Source organism: Homo sapiens, chromosome 12 (genome assembly GCF_000001405.40).
Source record: "Homo sapiens chromosome 12, GRCh38.p14 Primary Assembly".
NCBI classification, from domain to species: Eukaryota; Metazoa; Chordata; class Mammalia; order Primates; family Hominidae; genus Homo; species Homo sapiens.
Window position 1 is genome coordinate 64639644 of NC_000012.12, and position 22858 is coordinate 64662501.

The 22858-nt window shown below is 43.1% G+C and overlaps 1 protein-coding gene across 5 annotated transcripts in view, besides 3 other annotated features; it reads left to right on the top strand.

Annotated features, from left to right (window-relative positions):
• The window catches only part of RASSF3 (Ras association domain family member 3), a 190601-nt gene that overhangs the window by 132680 nt on the left and 35063 nt on the right, over positions 1-22858 (top strand). The window lies entirely within an intron of this gene.
• Positions 1800-2303: an enhancer, noted in NCBI's record as "NANOG-H3K4me1 hESC enhancer chr12:65035223-65035726 (GRCh37/hg19 assembly coordinates)". NCBI's record gives its function as "activates a minimal SCP1, AML or CMV promoter by ChIP-STARR-seq in primed H9 embryonic stem cells {active_cell/tissue: H9 hESC(primed)}" and the evidence as "EXISTENCE:reporter gene assay evidence [ECO:0000049][PMID:30033119]".
• Positions 8104-8827: an enhancer, noted in NCBI's record as "H3K27ac-H3K4me1 hESC enhancer chr12:65041527-65042250 (GRCh37/hg19 assembly coordinates)". NCBI's record gives its function as "activates a minimal SCP1, AML or CMV promoter by ChIP-STARR-seq in naive H9 embryonic stem cells {active_cell/tissue: H9 hESC(naive)}" and the evidence as "EXISTENCE:reporter gene assay evidence [ECO:0000049][PMID:30033119]".
• Positions 12702-12879: a silencer, noted in NCBI's record as "fragment chr12:65046125-65046302 (GRCh37/hg19 assembly coordinates)". NCBI's record gives its function as "represses an EF-1alpha promoter that drives an FKBP-Casp9 reporter gene in an ReSE screen in HepG2 liver carcinoma cells {active_cell/tissue: HepG2}" and the evidence as "EXISTENCE:reporter gene assay evidence [ECO:0000049][PMID:32094911]".

Below are 22858 nucleotides of genomic sequence, written 5' to 3' on the forward strand. Positions count from 1 at the left end.
ATTCTTCCTGCTCAAGTTGCCCAGGTGTAGTTTGTGGTTTCCAAGATACCTGTTGGACTGGCTTTAGGCTGATAATATTGGTTCCTTCATATTTTTTTCACATTGTTTTTAGAAATTTTATGTAACTGCATTCTTCAATAAGGCTCTAAAACAATTTTCCTATTATGGTATAGTTGCTTCTCCAAACACTTAACTACCTACTGGGAGGAATCAATAAGAGAGCCACTTCTGGTGGATCTTGGCCACAAGGTCTGTGATGTGTCGTTATATTGCAGAGATCTTTTGAGGAAATGCAACGTGAAAGATCTCCTTGACATTCTATGATGAAGAAATTAAAGGTAAACTGCATTTATGCAGATTTAATGTAGGTAGATAACTGACCTGTTTAATTCATGTGAGGCCTCAGAGGGTCTTTTATATTCTCTGCTTTCCAGCTAGTTTGACCTAAGTCAAACCTTTTCTCCCCAGTGGACCATGTTACTTTTATTTTAATCAGTTGATTTTTTTAAGGCTTTATTGAGTATAATTGATATACCAGAAACCTGTACATATTTAATATATACAGTTTGATGAGTTTGGACATATGTACACACCAGTGATACCACCACACTCAAGGTCATAAACATCTGTTGCCTCCAAATTTTCCTGTGTCACTTTTTTTTGTGGTAAGAACACTTAACATGAGATTGACCCTCTCAACACAAAAGTGTACAGTACCGTATCATTAACTATAGGCATTATGTTGTACACAGATCTCGAGGGCTTATTCATCTTGTGTAACTATAACTTTATTCCCATTGAACAACTTCTCATTTCCCTCTCTACCTATACCCTGGCAACTACCTTTCTATTTTCAGCTTTTATAAGTTGGATTATTTTAGATAAACCACATAAAAGTGGAATTATGCAGTATTTGTCCTTCTGTGACTGATTTTATTTCACTTAGAATATTGTCCTCAAGGTTCATCCATGTTGTTGCAAATGGTAGGATTTCCTTTTCATTTTATTTTATTTTTTGAGACAGGGTCTCACTCTGTTACCCATGCTGGAGTGCAGTGGTGCAGTCATGGCTCACTGCAGCCTCAACCTCCCGGGCCCAAGTGATCCTCCCACCTCAGCCTCCTGAATAGCTGGGACTAGAGGCATGTGCCACTATTCCCAGCTAATTATTATTATTTGTAGAGACAGGGTCCTCACTATGTTGCTCAGGCTGGTCTCGAACTCCTGGGTTCAAGCAGTCCTCCCTCCTCGACCTCCCAAAGTGCTGGGAGGTCTCACTCCCAGCCTAGGATGAGCCTCACTCCCTCACTCAGCCTAGGATTTTCTTTTTAAAGGTGAAATAATATTCTAATGTATATATACATTGCATTTTTAATAGTCTTATTTCATGACATTAAATAAGATATACTTATTTAACGTCAATCATCGTTTGGATCGTTTCCATGTGACTTAGAGCTTTAAAACAGGTGATGTTAAAGTTGAAAATAAAGGCCTGTAATCCCAGCACTTTGGGAGGCTGAGGGAGGCAGATCCCTTGAGCTCAGGAGTTGGAGACCAGCCTGGGCAACATGATGAAACCCTGTCTCCACTAAATATACAAAAACTAGCTGGGCGTGGTGGTGTGTGCCTGTAATCCCAGCAACTCAGGAGGCTGAGGTGGGAGGATCTCTTGAGCCCAAGAGGTGGAGGTTGCAGTGAGCCGAGACCGTACCACTGCCTTCCAGCCTGGGTGACAGAGTGAGACCCTGTCTCACAGGCGCACACACACACACGCGCGCGCGCGCGTTGAAAACAAATGAGAAACCCTATGGACGTGGGGGACTAGACCTGTACAGTTGTCAAGCCTGGTTTTGAGAAAGTAACTGACTCCAGCTGGGGGTGGTGGCTCATGCCTGTAATCCCAGCACTTTGGGAGGCCAAGGCCAGGAGGATTACTTGAGCTCAGGAGTTTGAGACCAGCCAGGCAATATGGTGAGACCCCATCTCTCTCTCTCTTTTTTTTTTTTTTTTTAAGTTACTGACTCCTAGGGGGCATTTAAGCGGTTGAATATCAGCATTTCTTTAGCTATTTAGCACCTCCCTTGTGACTTTAAAGTACCTAGTGATTTTTTTTTTTTGGATGGAGTTTCGCCCTTGTTGCCCAGGCTAGAGTGCAGTAGTGTGATCTCGGCTCACTGCAACCTCTGCCTCCCGGGTTCAAGCGATTCTTCTGCCTCAGCCTCCCGAGTAGCTGGGATAACAGGCATGTGCCACCACGCCCGGCTAATTTTGTATCTTTAGTAGAGACGGGGTTTCTCCATGTTGGTCAGGCTGGTCTCGAACTCCCGACCTCAGGTGATCCGCCTATCTTGGCCTCCCAAAGTGCTGAGATTACAGGCGTGAGCCACCGTGCTCGGCCTGTGATTCTGATTTCTATATATGGAGCCATCTAATTATAATTATTTGTTGCAAATTATCTTTTCTACTGCATTAAGTTTCCTTATGGGCTGATTAAAATGTTCTGGTTGACAGCTCACCTGGTTATTTAAATTGTTTGCTTTATCTTCTGGCTTAGCAATTGTACTTCTAAAAAACTATCTTAAGGAAAAAAGTCAAGGATATATGAAAATATTTCTTATGAGAAGGTTCATCAAGGGCCGGGCCCGGTTTCTCATGCCTGTAATCCCAGCACTTTGGGAGGCCGAGGCAGGCAGATCACCTAAGGTCAGGAGTTCAAGACAAGCCTGGCCAAAATGGTGAAACCCTGTCTCTACTAAAAATACAAAAATTAGCTGGGCATGGTGGCGGGTGCCTGTAGTCTCAGCTACTCAGGAGGCTGAGGCAGGAGAATCGCTTGAATCCTGGAAGCAGAGGTTGCAGTAAGCCAAGATCATGCCACTGCACTCCAGCCTGGGCGACAGAACGAGACTCCATCTCAAAAAAAAAAAAAAAAAAAAAAAAAAAAAGATTCATCAAAACTTTGTAATTAATACAAAGTTTTGTAATTAATTAATACAAAGTTAATTAATACAAATTAATACAAAGTTTTGTAATTAATACAAAGTTTTGTAATACAAAACTTTGTAATAGTGAGAAGTTTGGAAACAGTAGATATTCAATTATTTAAAATTATTTGTAGAGTGCAGTGGTTTAAAAGTATAGCTTCTGGATTCAGACTAAGTGAATTCTGATAGTTGTGCTGCCACTTAGAACTTTATGACTTTGGGCAAGTTTCTTTCTTTCTTTTTTTTTTTTTTTCTTGAGATGGAGTCTCACTCTGTTGCCCAAGCTGGAATGCAGTGGTACGATCTCAGCTCACTGCAACCTCCGCCTCTGGGGTTCAAGTGATTCTCGTGCCTCAGCCTCAGCTGGGACTACAGGCACATGGCACCACACCTGGCTAATGTATTTTAGTAGAGACAGGGCTTCACCATGTTGCCCAGGGTGGTCTTGAACTCCTGAGCTCAGGTGATTCCGCCCCTCCCCACCCGCCTCACCCTCCCAAAGTGCTGGGATCACCGGTGTGAGCCATCACGCCTGGCCCGGGCAAGTTTCTTAATGCAATTGTTAATTGTAGCTTAACAGCTGTCCTTGGATTATTTGAGTATGAAAGAAGTTATTAATACCTTGTAAAATGCTTAGAACATGTCTGGTCCATAGTAAAGCTCCATAAAGATTTAGCTATTGTTACTGTTAAAGTGTTAGATGCACAGATACTCACAACATTTTTCAAATGGAAAAGAATTTTAAAACAGCATGTATAGAAGCCGGTGAGGTGGCAAGCACCTGTAGTCCAGCTGCATGGGAGACTAAGGCAGAACGACCGCTTGAGCCGAGGAAGGAGTTTGGGGCTGTAGTATGGGATGATTGTTCTTGTGAATAGCCACTGCATTCCAGCCTGGGCAACCTAGTGAGACCCCGTCTCTTAAAAAAAAAATAAAACCCCAAAACAAAAATAAACCAAAAACCCCAACAAAACAGCATGTATAATGTATCATTAAATATAAGAATAGGAAAAAAAAACCGGAATGATCTACTCTGGGTGATAGGACAATCTCTTTTGGCTTCTGTGTTTTTTCTGTCCTACAACTCTTCTGTTTTATAACTGAAAAAAATGTTTTGCATGTGAATTTTAGACTGGGGTCTTTGGGTAAAAGCACCTAGAGATTACTGGCAGGTTAATTCTAAAAAGGGCAATTTGTTTTTTCACTTTATCTCAGAGTTTCATTTGTTTCCCAGTGATTGACTAATTATTTTAACAAAGTAAAGCTTCATTGTTGTGTGTATGCAATTGAATCGAAAATATACTTTTCATACAAAGACAACTTCCTAAAGGTAAGTGTAAACTTGTATGTAGTTTGTTAATCTTATTGTGGTATTTTGTTTTTCTTAAACACAGTTTCCTGTTCTTTTGCTTTTGCATGTCAACATTGCTGAAAATAAATATTTTGCTCTGCAGGGATAGTAAGCCAGATGGAGTGGTATTTATAATTTGAGGAAATAGCTTAAACTTTGTCATCAGTTTAAATTGCATTAAAAAACCTGAAGCACATTGATTAGAGTTGTTTAAGGTAGAGAACCAGAAATATTCTAAATATCCTATGCCTAACCTGTCAAAACTGTTCCTGAAATATATAGAGAGGGAAAGAGTACCTGAGGAGCTCAGGAAGAGTGATGGCCTAGAGCGTAGCTTGAATTGAGCAGCAGAGGTTTCTCTGGAGTGTCCTGTATTATCTTAGGCAAATTTGTAGTCTTCTTAATAGTATCTGTTTACATATCAATATGTTTTCTGTCCAGGCAAGGTGGCTCATGTCTATAATCCCAGAACTTTAGGAGGCCGAGATGGGCAGATCACTTAAGCCCAGGAGTTGGAGACCAGCCTGGGCAACATGGAGAAACCCCATCTCCGCAAAAAAATACAAAAATTAGCTGGGCGTGGTTGCACATGCCTGTAGTTCCAGCTACCCGGGAGGCTAAGGTGGGAAGATCACCTGAGCCCAGGAGGTTGAGGCTGCAGTGAGCTGTGTTTGCATCACTACACTCCAGCCTGGGCAGCAGAGACCCTGTCTCCAACCAAAAACAAACAAACAAACAAAAATATATATAATGTATATGTATATGTGTGGTTTTCCTGTCAATTTTTAAGTAGAATGTCCTCAGATACATATGCCATGTTTATCCTGTTACTTCCAGGATACCTGGGAATACCCAGAGGTTTGTGTCTATGTTAGTGTGAGAAGCCCTAACACATTTTTGTGTAGAGACAGCAAAACCTGTCTCTACAAAATAAAAAATAAAAAAATTAGCTTAGCATGGTGCCGTGTGCCAGTAGTCCCAGCTACTGTGGAGAATCACTTGAGCCTGGGAGGTTGAGGCTGCAGTGAGCCATGATCACGCCACTGCACTCCAGCCTTGGTGACAGCCTGAGGACTTTCTTATGGATTAAGGTGGGAATTATTTATGGTTTGCATGCTGAGAGAGATTTTCTGAATTTTTTCAACAAATATTGAACACCTGCCAGGTTGTGAATTTTTGTGGAGTGGATCAAAAGGACTGAAGGAAATGAACAAATAATTTTGGCAAACCATTATTAAGTAATGAATATGTATTGTATTCATTAATTAATGTATTAAGTGATGAATATGTATTGAATATGTGTATCATCACAGTAACTCTATGAGGGAGGTTCTATTATCACCCTCATTTATAGGATAAAGTACATGAGAGATGAATTTATCCTTAAGAAATATTTTCACTTTGGTGAGGCATGGCAGCTCATATTTTCACTTTGGCGAGGCATGACACTTTGGGAGGCTGAGGTGGGAGGATGGTTTGAAGCCATGAGTTTGAGACCAGCCTGGGCAACATAGTGAGACCCTGTCTCTATCTTTTTAAATTATAAAATTTTAAAAATAAAGAAATTTTTTTTTATTTTGAGAAGTTTGTGTGCTTTAGGTGTGTATTCTGTTTCATTAAGCCAAAGTTTGTATTACTAGCCTTCTATCCTGTCTTCCCATCCTTACCAAAAAAAGAGAAAAAGAAAAATAGTTTTACTCCTGAGGTTAAGAATGGGGCATGTTGTATCAATGTTTATTTGTGTAGATATTCTTTTGAATTTTTAAAAATTGGGGTATCACTTATATACAATAAAATGCACAAATCTTAATTGTACAATCTAATGAGTCTCTATGTTTAACTACCACCCAGATGTAGAAATGCAGTACATTTCTGTTACCCAGGAAGGTTCCTATGTGACTGTTCACAATCAGTAATCTCCCCAGCCCTTGGCTAGAACCACTAGTCTGACTTTTATCACCCTGAGTTAATGTTGCCGCATCTTGAACTTCATATAAGTAAAATCATGCAGTATGCACTCTTGCAGCTGACATCTTTTGCCCAAGTCAGTGCCACACATTGAGATTCATCCATGTTATTGCATATATCAGTAATTCTTCATTGTTGTAAAATATTACATTGTTTGAATATATCATTATTTATCCATTCTCTTGATGAACATTTGGATTGTCAATCAGCTGCTTTGATCATTCTTGTAGAACGTGTCCTTTGGTGGACATAACCCTTCATTTTTCTTGGCTATATATATACCTAAGAGTGGAATTACTGCATTGTAGAGTAGGTGTATCATTGGCTTTAGTAGATATTACCAGTTTTCTAACTGTGTTAGACTGACGTACATGCCCACTAGCAATGGATGAGAGTTCTGTTTTCTCCACATCCTTGCTAACAGTCTCTTTAGTTGTTCCATTTTTAATTGTGTCTTCAAGTAGGAAGCACCCTCACTTACAGGAGAAAGGAACTCCCAAGGAAGTTTCTGATTAGTGCAAGTTGGGTGGGATGAAGATGAATAACCAATACATAGCCTAAAGCTTTGCTCAGCATCTTATTCAGATGTAGTATTTATTTCAATGACAACCAAAAATAATTTCTGAATGGACCCTCCCTACCCATCTACTGTAAGTTAACATTGTCCAAATTCTAGTCTAATTATGCTTATGTTCTTCTTCTCCCCTCTTATATTCATGCTGAAATATTAAAAAATCACTGCAAATTCCTATGGAAAACCTCATACTTCAAAAGGGATCAGTGTTTGGTTTCTCTCTCCATTTTTTTTTTTTTTCTGTTGAAATAGAGTGAAAGACCCAGGAATAATATGCCTGTGTGTACATTTTGCAGATCTGGTAATAATAACAACTGTAGCGGTTACTGAGGGCCTCCTCTGGGTCAGGCTCTGTGAGAAGTGATTTGTATTCCTTAGTTCATTTACTTTCTATCATGACCCAATAAAGTATATGTATCTTTGCTATCCCCATTTTATAGATGAAGAAGCTAAAGCTTTGAGAGGTTAAGTAATTTGCCCAAGTTTATCTAGCTAGTAAGTGCAGAAGCTAGAATTTTAATCTAGGTCTGTCTAACTACAAAGGATGGAATTAGGCCCCTTTCTTATGATTATTAATAAAAATGATCTCTATGTAGTTAGGATTTACTAACCCAATTTCTTTTATCTTTTAAACTGAGAATCCCTCCACCTCCTGGCACCCCAGTTCTGGTAAAAGATAAATGAAACCCATAGTTGTTTTTCTCAGCAAGGGTTTTATTTATTTATTTATTTATTTTATTTTTTTTAAGACAGAGCCTCACTCTGTCACCAAGACTGGAGTGCCGTGGCACGATCATGGCTCACTGCAGGCTCAGCCTCCCAGGCTCAAGTGATCTTCCTGAGCAGCTGGGATTGCAGGCACACACCACCATGCTCGGCTAATTTTTTTTTCTTTTTTTTTTTTTGGTGAGACGGGGTCTTGCACTGTTGCCCAGGCTGGAGTGCAATGGCATGATCTTGGCTCACTGCAACCTCCGCCTCCCGATTTCAAGTGATTCTCCTGTCTCAGTCTCCAGAGTAGCTGGGATTACAGGCATCCACCACCACGCCCGGCTAATTTTTTGTATTTTTTAGTAGAGACGGGGTTTCACCATGTTGGCCAGGCTGGTCTCGAATTCCTGACCTCATGATTTGCCCACCTCGGCCTCCCAAAGTGCTGGGATTACAGGCATGAACCACCGCGCCCGGCCCCGGCCTTGTATTTTTTTTTATAGAGACAGGGTTTTGCCCTGTTGCCCAGGATGGTCTCCAACTCCTGGGCTCAAGCAGTCCTCCCATCTCAGCCTCCCAAAGTGCTGGGGTTACAGGCATGAGCCACTGTCCCCAGCCTCCCAAGGTTGTTTTTAGGCCCTTTGAGGCTTATAAAATAGAATAAATGAGAAATAGGTCCAACCTTCAAGAGCACTGTGTATAGCACCCAAGATTAGAAATGCATATGTTCAGCCATGACATCTATGGAAAGTACAGAGGACAGGTCCTGAGGAAGTGCTGGGGCTGTTGGTGGTACCAGCCTTTGTGTAGCAGAAGATGTTTGAGCTGTGCTTTGCAAAGTGGCTGGATCATAGACATGTGAACACTAGGAGTTGGGCCAGTGGGTGGAGATAGAATTTGTGCCTCAAATTGCAGATACTTCTGTTTGGTGGGTACATGTGTGACAGGCATAAACTTAGTGAGTAGGTGGCCCCAGATTTGGACCAGGTCAGGGAGACTCTTGAATGTCAGGCCTTGTGGCCTTTTGAGGCATTTCCCGCTGGACGATTAGTTGGGCAGTGGTGTGGCAGCATGTGGAGGTGGAGAGGCTGATGGAGAACTTGCAGTAGGATGTCCATCATGTGGGACTGAAGGCTAGCTGGGAGGTATATCTGGGCTGGAGAAAATGGACATGGGACTCACAAAACTGGTTGTAGGAGCTATGGGAATAGACAGAGGCTCCCGGCTAGAGCTCTAGGGCATAGTGGGTTAACCAGCGGTGGGTGTGGTGTCAGAATCACTCATAAAGCTTTTTTTTTTTTTGAGATGGAGCACGTTCCTGGCTCACTGCAACCTCCACCTCCTGGATTCAAGCGATTATCCTGCCTCAGCCTCCCAAGTAGCTGGGACTACAGGCATGCGCCACAACACCCAGCTAATTTTTGTATTTTTAGTAGAGACGGGGTTTCATCATGTTAGCCAGGATGGTCTCGATCTCTTGACCTTGTGATCCGCCTGCCTCGACCTCCCAAAGTGCTGGGATTACAAGGATGAGCCACCAAGCCCGGCCAAGCTTCTTGTTTTTACATTGATTTTTTTTTTTTTTTTTTTTAGAGATAGGGGCTCGATCTGTTACCCAGGCTGGAGTGCAGTAGTACAGTGTTGGCTTACTGTAACCTCCAACTTCTGGACTCAGGTGATCCTCACCCCTCAGCCTACCGAGTAGCTAGGACTATAGGTGTGTGCCACCATGCCCGGCTAATGATTTAAAAAATGTTTTGTAGAGACAGGGTCTCATTATGTTGCCCAGCTGGTCTCAAACTCATGGCCTCAAGCGATCCTCCTGCCTTGGCCTCTCAGGGTGCTGGGATTAAAGTAAAGGAATGAGTCCAGCTACTCATACAGCTCTTGAAAACCCTCTGGCTTGGTCTGACCCTGGAGCTTCTAATTGGTGTTCTTGGGGTCTCAGCAGCCATCTGGGTTTTTTTTTTTCTTTTTTTGGGATGGAGTCTCGCTCTGTCGCCCAGGCTGGAGTGCAGTGGCGCGATCTCGGCTCACTGCAAGCTCCGCCTCCCGGGTTCACTCCATTCTCCTGCCTCAGCCTCTGGAGTAGCTGGGACTACAGGCACCCGCCACCACACCCGGCTAATTTTTCGTATTTTTAGTAGAGACAGGGTTTCACCGTGTTAGCCAGGATGGTCTCAATCTCCTGACCTTGTGATCCGTCTGCCTTGGCCTCCGAAAGTGTTGGGATTACAGGCATGAGCCACTGCGCCTGGCCAGCCATCTGGATTTTTAAAAGCACCTTGGCTTCTAGTGCATATTCTCTGCCCACTCTGCAGGTAAGAAGCAGTGAGGAAAATGGTCCTAGGGTACCCGGTTAGGACATAGTCATATCTCTGAGTTCTCAGGGAACTCAGGAAAAATCATGCCGTCTCGATAGCCAAGTTATCAGTGTCAAATGTCTCGAAAAGATCTTGTTTCCAAAGTCGTCATGCTTAACACTTCCAAAACAAAGAGTGTGCCAACTTCTTTGGGCAAGCCATTTGTGGGCAATTTTGAGGATCAGAAAAGCTCTTTGGTGAAATAAACTAAACGGTCTCCCTGAATAGCTTTCACAGTGTGGGCCTTGCAGGGAGCACAAGGCCAGCCCACCCTATACATGATATTCTTTACGATTATAAAGACACTTTTTACTGTTTCTCCCAGTTTTCCTTTTTCCCACACTAACATCCCCAGTATGCTCTTGTGTAGTTTTCAGAGCCTTTGTTATGATTCCCTCTGAACTGTTGCTCTTTGCCAGTATTGCTTTTCAAATAAGGCAACCCCAAATTTACGCACCAGCATTGTTTAGTGGGACCATTTATTTGTCTCTTGTCATGTAGATGATACACGCATGTATTTGCAGGGGCAGGGACAGGGGATCCCCAGTATAAACTTTAAATGTGCCTTTAATTCTATCTTGGATTCACCCTGTTTGAGCCTGTGATCTGGCTTACCCTCCCAGATGTCATTGGCCAATTTGATAAACAAATTCGATTATCTCCATGCCAAAGAGGAAGCAGTGCCTCAAGGCAAGCCTGAAGCAGCGCTGCCATGACAGGACCTTGACAGGTCCTTGATAGGACCTTTGTGCTGTGCTCAGTGATGACCTCAGTGATAGTTGTCCTCAGCCAGGAGGTGTTTCTTTTTTTTTCCTTTTTTTTTTTTTTTTTTTTTTTTGAGACAGAGTCTTGCACTGTTACCTGGGCTGGAGTGCAATGGTGCAAGTCTGGGTTCACTGCAACCTCTGCCTCCCAGGTTCACGGGATTCTTCTGCCTCAGCCTTCTAAGTAGCTGGGATTACAGGTGCGCGCCACCACACCCAGCTAATTTTTTGTATTTTTAGTAGAGACGGGGTTTCACTATGTTGGCCAGACTGGTCTCGAACTCCTGACCTTGTGATCTGCCCGCCTTGGACTTCCAAAGTGCTGGGATTACAGGCGTGAGCCACCGCGCCTGGCCGAGTTGTTTATTTCTAAAGGATTTTTAGGAGTCTTAAAAAAAGTCTTTTCCTGTACCTTAAACAATGGTTTCACTAAAGGGAATTGCTGTCTTAGATGTTTCGTGTTGAATCTTACACATTTTTGCCTAAGCTGTATCATCCTCATTGGAAAACCCTTGCACCGAGTATTTACTTTTAGTCACACTTTGCTATAAACTTTATGACTTGTGCATGCGCGATTGTATGGCTGGCTCTTTGCCTTTTGCCTCTACTGTGACCAACACTGATTTCTTACAGGCTTGTAAAGTGGTTTCCAAGATCTGTTTGCTGTGTGTGCTTGGCTGCATTTGATATAAATAGATTTGAGATTAGTGTTTGAAAGTGCCATATGACCATATACAGAGCTGACTTACTAAGGATATGTTACTGCATTTCAGACACATCTAGTAATAGAAAAATCAGTGTCTTAATGGGCTGTGCCTCTCTCGTGTCCCCTCTTTTAAAAAAAAATTTAGTTACAACTAAATGTCAGGAAATTTTGTAGCTTACCTAGTTTAAGTCCCAAGATATGTGGAGAGACAATAAAAATGATAATGACAATGGTGCCTGGAGATGCGTATGTTAACATATGTTAAGAAGTTATTTTTAAGGTTGCCCACTTAATGTTTTTGTTTTTATTTTTGAGATGAAGTCTCACTCTGTTGCCCAGACTGGAGTGCAGTGGCTTGATACTGGCTCACTGCAACCTCCAACCTCCCGGGTTCAAGTGATTCTCTTGCCTCAGCCTCCCATGTAGCTGGGATTACAGGCGCCTGCCACCACACCCGGGTGATTTTTGAATTTTTAGTAGAGGCAGTGTTTCACCATGTTGGCCAGGCTGGTCTTGAACTCCTGACCTCAAGTGATTCACCCTCCTCGGCCTCCCAGAGTGCTGGGATTACAGGCATAAGCCACCATGCCTGGCTGGTTGTTGTTGTTTTTGTTTGTTGAGACATGGTCTCACTGTTACCCAGGATGGAGTGCAGGGGTGCAGTCACAGCTCACTGCAACCTCGACTTCCCAGGCTCAGGTGATCCTTCACCCTCAATCTCCTGAGTAGCTGGGACCACATGTGCACGCCACCACACCTGGCTAATTCTTGCATTTTTCTGTAGACATGGGGTTTCACCATGTTGCCCAGGCTGTTCTCAGACTGGGCTCAAGCAATCCTCCTGCCTTGGCCTCCCAAAGTGCTGGGATAACAGACATGAGCCACCTCGCCCAGCTCCATTTAATGTTTAATTGTAGGCTTGGTGACTCTTATGTATTAATTACTAGATATTCTTATTTGGAATTATTAGACGTGCTAAGGCAATAATTTTGAAATTTACAACAGACTAGTTGGTGTTAAGGTGTTATAATAGATTACCATATTTTGCAATATATTGGTTATTTCCTTGTTGAATAGAGATGAGGAAGGATGGTATTTTGGCTCTAAATTAGAGGGCTGAGGTTCTAATGGCAAAATTAACATTGTAGTTTTACATTGCTTGAATAATGTAATCTTCTTAATAGATATTATACTTAATTTTGCTTTAAAGACAATGTTCATTGATAAACTTTCTGTATCTTTCAGTGTGTTCTGTAGCACAGTGCTTTCTTCATGGCCATCGCAGGTGTTTGGGCTTTTTTTTTAAACACGTCTGAGGACTGCAAAGGTGTTTTTTTCTCCCCCTCCCCCTCCCCCCCTCCTCTTTCTTACTTAGACTGTTGTTGTCCAGGCTGACCTCAAACTCCAGAGAGCCTCATGCCTCAGCCTCCTGAGTAGCTTGGACCAGGCTTGGCTCGAGGACTGTGATTTTATAGACATTGTTTCCATCCTGTAGAGGAAACAGATGGGTTAATTTAATTGTTCAGCTGGTGCTTGAGCACACTCTGGGAGTGTCCAATCCAGAGATGAATGAGGATTCTTGCTCTTAATTCAGTGTTGTTTTTTGCTTCATCTTGCTTCTAAGAGAGTTCCTTGAATATATGATGGAATTATGTAGTGGTTACTGCAGTAATCACACTCTTATTATTTTCTAATTATGTGGAACTTGGGAAATGTTGATTTTGTTTCAGTATATGATTTGCAGTATAATTCTATTTACATGTAAAATCTTGTCTGTGTTAGTTTGCCTTGACAAAGCACCACAAACAAGGCAGCTTAAACAACAGAAATGTGTTGTCTCACAGCTCTGGGGGCTATAAGTTCTGGATTAAGATGTTGGCAGGGTGGCTTCCTTCTGAGGGTTAGGAGGGAAGGATCTGTCCCAGGCCTCTCTCATTGGTTTATACATGATTGTCTTCACCCAGTATCTTTACGTCATCTTCTCTCTGTACATGTCTGTGTCCGAATTTCCCCTTCTCTTTTGAGATAGGGTCTCACTGTGTCACCCAGGTTGGAGTACAGTGGTGTGATCATGAATCGTTGCAGCCTTGATCTTCCAGGCTCAACTGATCTTCCTGCCTCAGCCTCCTGAGGTAGCTGGGACTATAGGCATGTGCCACCAGGCCTTGCTAATTTTTTTATGTTTTAAAATTTTTGTGGAGATGGGGATCTCACTGTATTGCCCTGGCTGGTCTCAAATTCCTGACCTCAAGTAATCCTCCCACTTCAGCCTCCCAAAATGCTGGGATTACAGGCATGACTGACCCATCACACCTGGCCTAATATCCCCTTTTCTTAGGGACATCAGTTATATTGCATTAGGAACCATGCTGATAGCCTTAACATTTTAACTTGATGACCTCTATAAAGACCCTGTCTCCAGAGAAGATCACATTCTGAGTTATTGGGAGTTAGGACTTCAACATATGATTTTTGGGAGGACACAAATCAATATTCAGCAGTATCTTTTTTTTTTTTTGAGACTGAGTCTTGCCTTGTTACCCAGGCTGGAGTGCATTGGCGCAAACATGGCTCATTGGAGCAGCCTTCACCTCCTGGGCCCAAGTGATCCTCCTGCCTCAGCTTCCCTAGTAGCTGGCACTCCCATGTCAATTAAAATTTTCTGTAGAGATGGAATCTTACCGTGTTGCTTAGGCTGGTCTTGAATTCTTGGGCCTTAGCAATTCTCCTGCCTTGGCCTCCCAAAGTGCTGGGATTACAGCGTGGGCCACTGCGCTCAGCCCTTAACGGTGTCTTTAACAGCTCTCCAGTAGTGTATCTAGAGAGCACTGCCTGCGGGATGGTGGCCATGGGACCCAGCTTGGAGGCTGGCCCTCAAGAATCACCGGGTTGGTGGTGGGCTGTTAGTGGATCCCCTTCTCCATGGGGCACAGGCAAGTCTGGTTTGGAAAAGGATGATGTTGCTTCAGTGTCAGTTTGCCAGTTTTTCCTCTGTTCTCCCCACTCTGATTCTGACTAGAATTAATTTGGTAGCACTGAGAAGAGTCATTTCTACTTTGGCACAGTAATCTTGCCCATAATCTGACTAATTTTTATTTTTATTTTTTTGAGACAGAGTCTTGCTCTGTCACCCAGGCTGGAATGCAGTGGTGCAATCTCGGCTCACTGCAACCTCTGTCTCCTAGGTTCAAGAGATTCTTCTGCCTCAGCCTCCTGAGTAGCTGGGATTACAGGCATGCACCACCACGCCCAGCTAATTTTTTTTTTCTTTTGCTATTTTTAGTACAGATGGGGTTTTGCCATGTTGTCCAGGCTGGTCTCGAACTCCTGACCTCAAGTGATCCGCCCGCCTTGGCCTCCCAAAGTGCTAGGTTTAAAGGCATGAACCACTGCCCCGGCCCCATAATCTGCCAAATTTTAGTTAAAACTCTGTATTCCACTTAGAACTAATTCACCGTGGCTGGGCACGGTGGCTTCTGCCTGCAATCTCAGCATTTTGGGAGGCTGAGGTGGGTGGATCGCTTGAACCCAGGGGTTTGAGACCAGCTTGGGCAATATAGTGAGACCGTGTTTCTTTGCGGGGGGGGGGGGGTGGGGGGAAGCCAGCCTGGCCAACATGGTGAAACCTCATCTCTACTAAAAATACAAAAATTAGCCACGTGTGGTGGCACACACCTGTAATCCCAGCTACTCAGGAGGCCTTGGCATGAGGATCCCTTGAACCTGGGAGGCGGAAGTTGCAGTGAGCCGAGATCATGCCACTGCACTCCAGCCTGGGTTGACGGAACGAGACTCTGTCAAAATAAAATAAATAAAATAAAATACAATGTAAAATAAAATAAAATAGAATGAATTCACTGATAAAGTTGACTTCTCTCATCTCCAAGTAAATGATTTCATTTTCTCCTTTGTTCCTTGCATGTATGCTGTGATTTACTGACTATCAAGAACTCATTACACCAGTACGTATCCCAAGACAAATCAGCTCCAAAGTGGAGTGAGTGCAAGGGGAGAGCTTTAATTCAAAACTGCTTTATGGAGGAAGTACAGGTTTTCCTCTAAGCTGCACTGTTATAGATCTGTAGAAGTTTTAAATCCATGTAATGCTCATCAGTTTTTAGTTTAGTATTTAGCTGTCTGTGATGATAAGTAAATAATTTACCTTTTTGAAGGCCTGTGATATACTGTGTCTTCATTGCTTCATTTAAGAGGATGCAACATCAGGATTTTCAAAAATACACATAACGAAGTGTTGTGTAATCGTCTGTACATGGTTTCTTTGATAAGAGAGAGGCAGGAATCTGCGTAAAGCAGGTGTACAGACATAGTTTGCCCATGAGACAGCAAGAAGAGCCCTGATGTCCTAAAGGAGAGCCCTCTCCTGAAATGCATAACATACATATATATTTTTTTTTCCTTTTTTTCAAAAAATAGAGACAGGGTCTCAGTATGTTGCCCAGGCTGTCTCAAACTCCTGGCCTTAAGTGATCCTCCTGCCTCGGCCTCCCAAATTATTGGGATTACAGGTGTGAACCACCATGCCTGGTCTTGAAATGCATATCTTAGTCACTGTTACTTCTTTTAAATTGTTTTAATTGTATAAGATAAAAACCAAAACAAACAAAAAAAATGCTACCATTTCAGGAGCATACATCTAGTCTTAAAAATATCATAAATTTGGGCCGGGTGCAGTAGCTCACGCCTGTAATTCCAGCACTTTGGGAGGCCGAGGCGGGCGGATCACGTGAGGTCAGGAGTTCGAGACCAGCCTGGCTAACATGGTGAAACCCTGTCTCTACTAAAAATATGAAAATTAGCCGGGCGTGATTGTGGGTGCCTGTAATCCTGGCTACTTGGGAGGCTAAGGCAGGAAAATTGCTTAAACCCAGGAGATGGAGGTTGCAGTGAGCTGACACAGTGCCACTGTACTCCAGCTTGGGCAACAGAGTGAGACTTTGTCTCAGAAAAAAAAAAAAAAAAAATTATAAATCCTTTTTATTCCCCTAACTTGGATCTCAGGTTAATTGGGATATGCCTAATAACAAAATTTCTGAACATGAGGTTTACTAGAAAGAATTATTTTTTAGATTATTTGTGATATATGTATATATGCATTTGATAGTAGTGGATGTGTTTATTGGACTCTTAAGTACTTGCTATGTACTGTGGGACATGTAGGAGTATATGAATATTTGTCAGCTAGATTATAAAGCTTAAAAACATATTATTGGGCAGGAGTGGGCTATGGGGCTGTGACTACTAGTGGGCCTGGGGTTTCTTTGTGGGTTGATGAAAATAGAGATGGTTGTGCAACTTTGTGAATATAGTAAAACCATTTAATTGTATACTTATGGGTGAATTTTATGTTATGTGAGTTATATCTCAGTGATGCTTAAAAAATGCTGTTAATGAATTTGCAGTGCTGAAAAGATTCCAAAGTTGTGATTCTCTACCTTTTTCTGTTCTCCAGATCTCCCAAAGCAGTTGCAGTGAAAGATAAAGAACATCAAACACTCTTATCTTCTGGTGGTGGGGAAATGCTGAGTGGCCCTGACTTTGTGCAGTGAAAGTTGTTTACACAAGCCTGAGTCTATAAACTCAGAGATAAAAAAAATCACACCAGGCTGAAGCCCCATCAGGCAAAAACCTACCAGAGAAATGGGCCTGCCCGTCTGATGGAATATCTGGGATTTCCTGATGTTGGTCCCTTAATTTGTGGACCATTTTAGGCTGTCATTAAAGTAGCAGTCTAAAGTAAGAGAAAAATTCTGACATGGAATAATGTGGATGAATCTTGAGGACATTACATGAAATAAGCCAGTCACTAAAAGGACAAATACTGTATGATTACAATTGCATGAAGTGCCTAGAGTAGCCACATTCATAGAGACAAAGTAGAATGGTAGTCACAGGGAAATAGGGAGTCAGTGTTTAATAGTATAGTTTCTTTTTTTTTTTTTTTTCAGACAGAGTCTTACTCTGTCGCCCAGGCTGGAGTGCAATGGTGCTATCTTGGCTCACTACAGCCTCCATCAACCAGGTTCAAGCGATTTTCTCCTGCCTCAACCTCCCTTGTAGCTGGGACTACAGGCCCACGCCACCACGTCTGGCTAATTTTTGTATTTTTAGTAGAGTTGGGGTTTCGCCACGTGGGCCAGGATGGTCTCGAACTCCTGACCTCAAGTGATCTGCCCACCCGCAAAGTGCTGGGATTACAGGGGTGAGCCACCACGCTGGGCGATACAGAGTTTCAGCTGGGGAAGGTGAAAAAGTTCTGGAGATGGATGGTAGTGATGGTTCCACAATATTGTGAATGAACTCAGTGTCAAATAACTATATACTGAAAAATGATTCAAATGGTAAATTTTATGTTGTGTTTAATCACAATAAAGTAAATTTTTAAAAAGTAAGAGTAGTAAAATCACTTTGATGAAAAGAAAGGGTGGGACCAGGGTATTTGGATTGTCTACCAGGCCAGGCACCCTTTTCAGTGGTCTTGCCTCTGTGCCTGCCTTCTGAGTGTGAGGAGGATGATGAGGATGCCCAGGGCAGGTCTCTGCCTGCTCCCTTCGTTCTGGTCCTTCCACCAGTCACCCATGGAGCATCTCTTGTGTTTCAGAAATGCCAGTGCCTTGGCACAGGAGCAGGATAAAACTGTGCCCCCAAGGCACTTTTAATCCAGAGGAAGGTTGGCAAAGATACATTTGCTTGAAAAATATTGTCAGGGCCAGGTGTGTTGGTTCACACCTATAATCCTAGCACTTCCCAGTACTTTGGGAGGCTGAGGCAGGAGGATCACTTGAGCTCAAGGAGTTCAAGACCAGCCTGGGCGAGACCTCATCTCTACAAAACTTCAAAAAAAATTAGCCAGACATGGTGGTGCAGGCTGAGGTGGGAGGATCATTTTAGCCCAGGAAGTTGAGGCTGCAGTGAGCGTTGATTGTGCCACTGCACTCCAGCCTGGGTGACAGAGCGAGACCCTGTCTCTAAAAAATAAATAAATTGTCAGGTTGCGTTATGCTCCCCTGTGGTAGAAGTGTGGGTGGTGTTATTTAGGTAGTACTTGGAGAGTGCCCGTCAGATGTCTGGAAACCTAATTTAAAGTAGTAAAATCAACACGTGGGTGAGACTTGATACCCACAGACATATTTTTTTTTAAAGCTAGAGTGTCTCTAAAAGAATGAGACTTGTTTATAGCCTAAAAATTCTCCATGGAATGAAGATCCTCCTGGTGCCAAAGGAACTGTGTGCTTTTGGTGAGGAGCCCATCAGCATGAGGTTTTCCACTGACTACGGTTTCCCAAGGCAACTTAAGAGACATAGTCAAGGCCTTAAGGAATTGATGGGCCAGCCATGGAGGAGACTCAAATACAAACACAATGTTTTTGCGCTTTGTAAGCATGGTTATGGAGCACTGTCTAAACTAGTGAAAGTAAATTTAATAAGAAGGAATTACGGCAGGCACAGTGGCTCATGCCTGTAACCCCAGCACTTTGGAAGGCTGAGGCGGGCGGATCGCTTGAGGCTGAGAGTTCAAGACCAGCCTGGACAACATAGTGAAACCCTGTCTCTACTAAAAATACAAAATTATCCAAGTATGGTGGCATACACCTGTAGCCCTAGCCACTTGGGAGGCTGAGGCATGAGAATTGCTTGAACCCAGGAAGTGGAGGTTGCAGTGAACTGAAAGTGAAACTCTATCTCAAAAAGAAGAATGAATTATGCTGGGCATGATGGCTCACGCCTGTAATCCCAACACTTTGGGAGGCTGAGGCAGGAGGATCACTTGAGCTCAAGGAATTTAAGACCAGCTTGGGCAACATAGCGAGACCCCTGTCTCTACAGAAAATAAAAAATTAGCCAGGTGTGGTGATGTACACCTGTAGTCCCAGCTACTCAGGAAGCAGAGGCAGGAGGATATCTTGAGCCCAAGAGTTTATTAAGGCTGCAGTGAACCATGATTGTGCCACTGCACTCCAGCCTGAGCAACAGAAAAAAGAACAAATTGTGGAAGAGACATGTTAAAGTCCAGTGGGTCAGTGACCAAGAGCCCAGAGACTCTAGTTTCAAACATACACATTCCATGGTCCTGCCTGTGTTTTTAGACAGATCATTCTCAGAGGCAGCCTTCATCTGTTAAATAAATTCTTTACTTGGTGGGAGGAGGTGAGAGAGAGGTGGAGTCAGAGGTGAAGTGTGGGGATAAGGATGTGATATTTTTAGCACAGTTTGAGATATAAAGTAATTTCCTGATAAGATTATTCTTCTCCTAAATGGAACCTGTACTGTCCTCATTCTCTTACTAATGACAAGGTCAGAGCAAACCGACAAACATGGAAGAACAGGGTTCCTAGCCCTGGTGGTGAATTCCGAGGCGGTCTGAGCATACTCCAAAAAGTTGGCTTTAGGATACAGAGGGGTCCATTTTTGTGGACTGCTTTATTTTGGTTCAAGGGTTGTCTGTGAATTTTACAATAAATCAGAGTCTTTGTTTTCCTATTGCTGAGGGAGGGGAGGGAGAGGTTTGCAACAGTCTATTAATAGAATATAGCATAATTTGAAAGGAAATGTAGAAAAATCAAATGCTAATAATAATAATATTGCTGGGCATGGTGGCTCATGCCTGTAATCCCAGCACTTTGGGAGGCTGAGGTGGGCAGATCTCTTGAGATCAGGAGTTTGAGACCATCCTGGCCAACATGGTGAAACCCCATCTCTACTAATAATACAAAAATTAGCTGGATGTGGTGGTGCATGCCTGTAATCCCAGCTAGTCGGGAGGCTGAGGCAGGAGAATCACTCGAACCTGGGAAGCGGAGGTTGCAGTGAGCTGAGATGGCGCCACTACACTCCAGCCTGGGTGACAAAGCGAGACTTCATCTAATACGTGTGTGTGTGTGTGTGTGTGTGTGTGTGTGTATGTATGTGTATATGTGTGCGTGTATATATATGTGTGTGTGTGTATGTGTATATATATGTGTGTGTATGTATATATATATGTGTGTGTGTATGTATATATATATACACATACACGCACACATATGGCACGCACTATGTTGCCCAGGCTGATCTCAAACTCATGGGCTCAAGTGATCCGCCCGCCTCTGCCTCAAAAAGTGCTAGGATTACAAGTGTGAGCTACTGTGCCCATCCTGAAATGCTAATAATTATTAACCTAATGTTGCTGGAAACAAATTCTTTGTTTTTTCAAGAAGAGAAAAAGTAGATAATAATGGTACTGAAAGTGGTATTTCTTTTTACTTTCTCACAATTCCATCATCATTAACCATTTACATTCAGGAGCCACTATACTAGGCACTCTAAAGGCACCTTTAAAGAGCTGTCTCATTGTATGTAAGGGTGTGTACACTGAGAAGTCTGTATTGCCCAGTATTTATGAGAAAGCTGCTGCTTGCACCTGGCTTGGTGCTATGAGGGACAAATACAACTTTGTGTTTCATAAGGAAGATTAATACTTTGACATAATTCTAATTTCTTGGCCTTTAAGGAGAAGGTCACAAAATCTTTCTTTAAAAAAAGGTAGTGACTATCATTTGCTTTTTCTCTGTAAAAGCAGGGACATTTCTTTTTAACGTATTTTTTCCCAGTGGCTAAAATAATGTATACTCAATGCAGAAGACTTGGAAATTGGAAAAAATGGAGGAGCTTTTGAAAAAAAATTTCTTTCAGGATGACTGTTGGTTTTGCTTTGAGTCAGAAGCAAGCTTTGTTCTGCTGACTTGTCTCGTGCTTAGTAGTCCTTTCCTGCCTCCTCTTGTGATCCCTTGAATTTGGAGGATTTGGCGGGGAGTCACATGGCCCTCTCTCCCCATCAACTTCCCATCTTCCCACTGGAGCACACGAGCTTTCCTCCGAATCTGTGAGACTTGAGCTCAGTGGTTCATGTTAATATAATAGAACACCCCTTTCTTGTGAACGTGTGCTCTCAGGGTTTGTTTCCAAGTTGAGGCTTGACATGTCAGAAGGTGTTTTGTGGAAGGAAAGAGCCCTAGTGCTGGAGGCATTGGGTTCAGATCCTGGCCTCACTCAAATGGTAGCCGTAGCCGTGAGTAAGTTAAACTCGGCTTGCTCGTATGTAAGTGGTAATAACAATGCTTAGATACAATGATCTGATTTACCTGGTACATAGCAGGTTCTTGGGCTGGGCATGGTGGCTGATGCCTGTAATCCCAGCACTTTGGGAGGCCAAGGCGGGAGGATCACTTGAGCCCAAAAGTTTGAGACCAGGCTGTCTCTACAAAAAATTAAAAAACTAGCTGGGCACAGTGTGGCGCCTGTAGTCCTAGCTATTCAGGAGGCTGAGATGGGAGGATCACTTGAGCCCAGGAATTTGAGGCAGCTGTAAGCTGTGATTGCCACTGCACTCCAGCTTGGGCGACAAAGTGAGACCCTGTCTCTAAAAAAAAGGGGCGCAGGGGGTTCTTTCCATGAATGTGATGCTCACACAACCCTGTTTGTTCCTTTCATTCAAAAATGTATATTGAAGTCCTAGCTAGCTGCTTGGGAGGCTGAGATGGGAGGATCATTTGAACCCAGGTGTTTAAGTGCAGCCTGGGTAACATAACAAGACCCCATCTCTCTTTTTCTTTTTCTTTTTTTTTTTTTTTTTTTTTTTGAGACAGGGTCTCATGTGTTGCTCAGGCTGGAGTGCAGTGGCTTGATCTTGGCCTACTGCAGCCTCCACCTCCTGGGTTCAAACAATTTTCCTGCCTCAGCCTCCTGAGTTGCTGGGATTACAGGTGCCACCACCACGCCTGGCTAATTTTTATATTTTTAGTAGAGATAGGGCTTCACCCTGTTGGCCAGGCGGTTCTCGAACTCTTGACTTAAGGTGATCTGCCCACCTCGGCCTCCCAAAGTACTGGAATTACAGGCATGAGCCACTATGCCCAGCCCCCATCTCTTAAAAAAAAAAAAAAAGTGTATTAAGCACCAGCTGTGTGCCAAGCCTTGCTCTAGATGCTGGAGACAAAAATGGAGAGAGAGAGAAAAAAAAATCCCTGCCTTTGTGGAGCTCAGATTCTTGTTGGGGAAGTAGGTAATAAGATAAATGCTGGGTGTGGTGGCTAACACCTGTAATCCTGGCACTTTGGGAGGCAGAGGCAGGTGGATTTCTTGAGTCTAGGAATTTGAGACCAGCCTGGTCAACATGGTGAAACCCCGTATCTACAAAAAAAAAAAAAAAATTAGCCAGGCCTGGTGGCGCTTGCCTGTAGTCCCAGCTACTCAGGAGGCTAAGGTGGGAGGATCATTTGAGCCTAAGAGGTTGAGGCTGCTGTGAGCTGTGATTGTACCACTGCACTCCAGCCTGGGTGACAGATTGAGACCCTGTCTCAAACAAAGAAACAAAAACAAGATAAATGCCTAGATATCTGTTAGATTAGTGGTCAGTTGCAAGAAGTAAATAAAAGAGGTT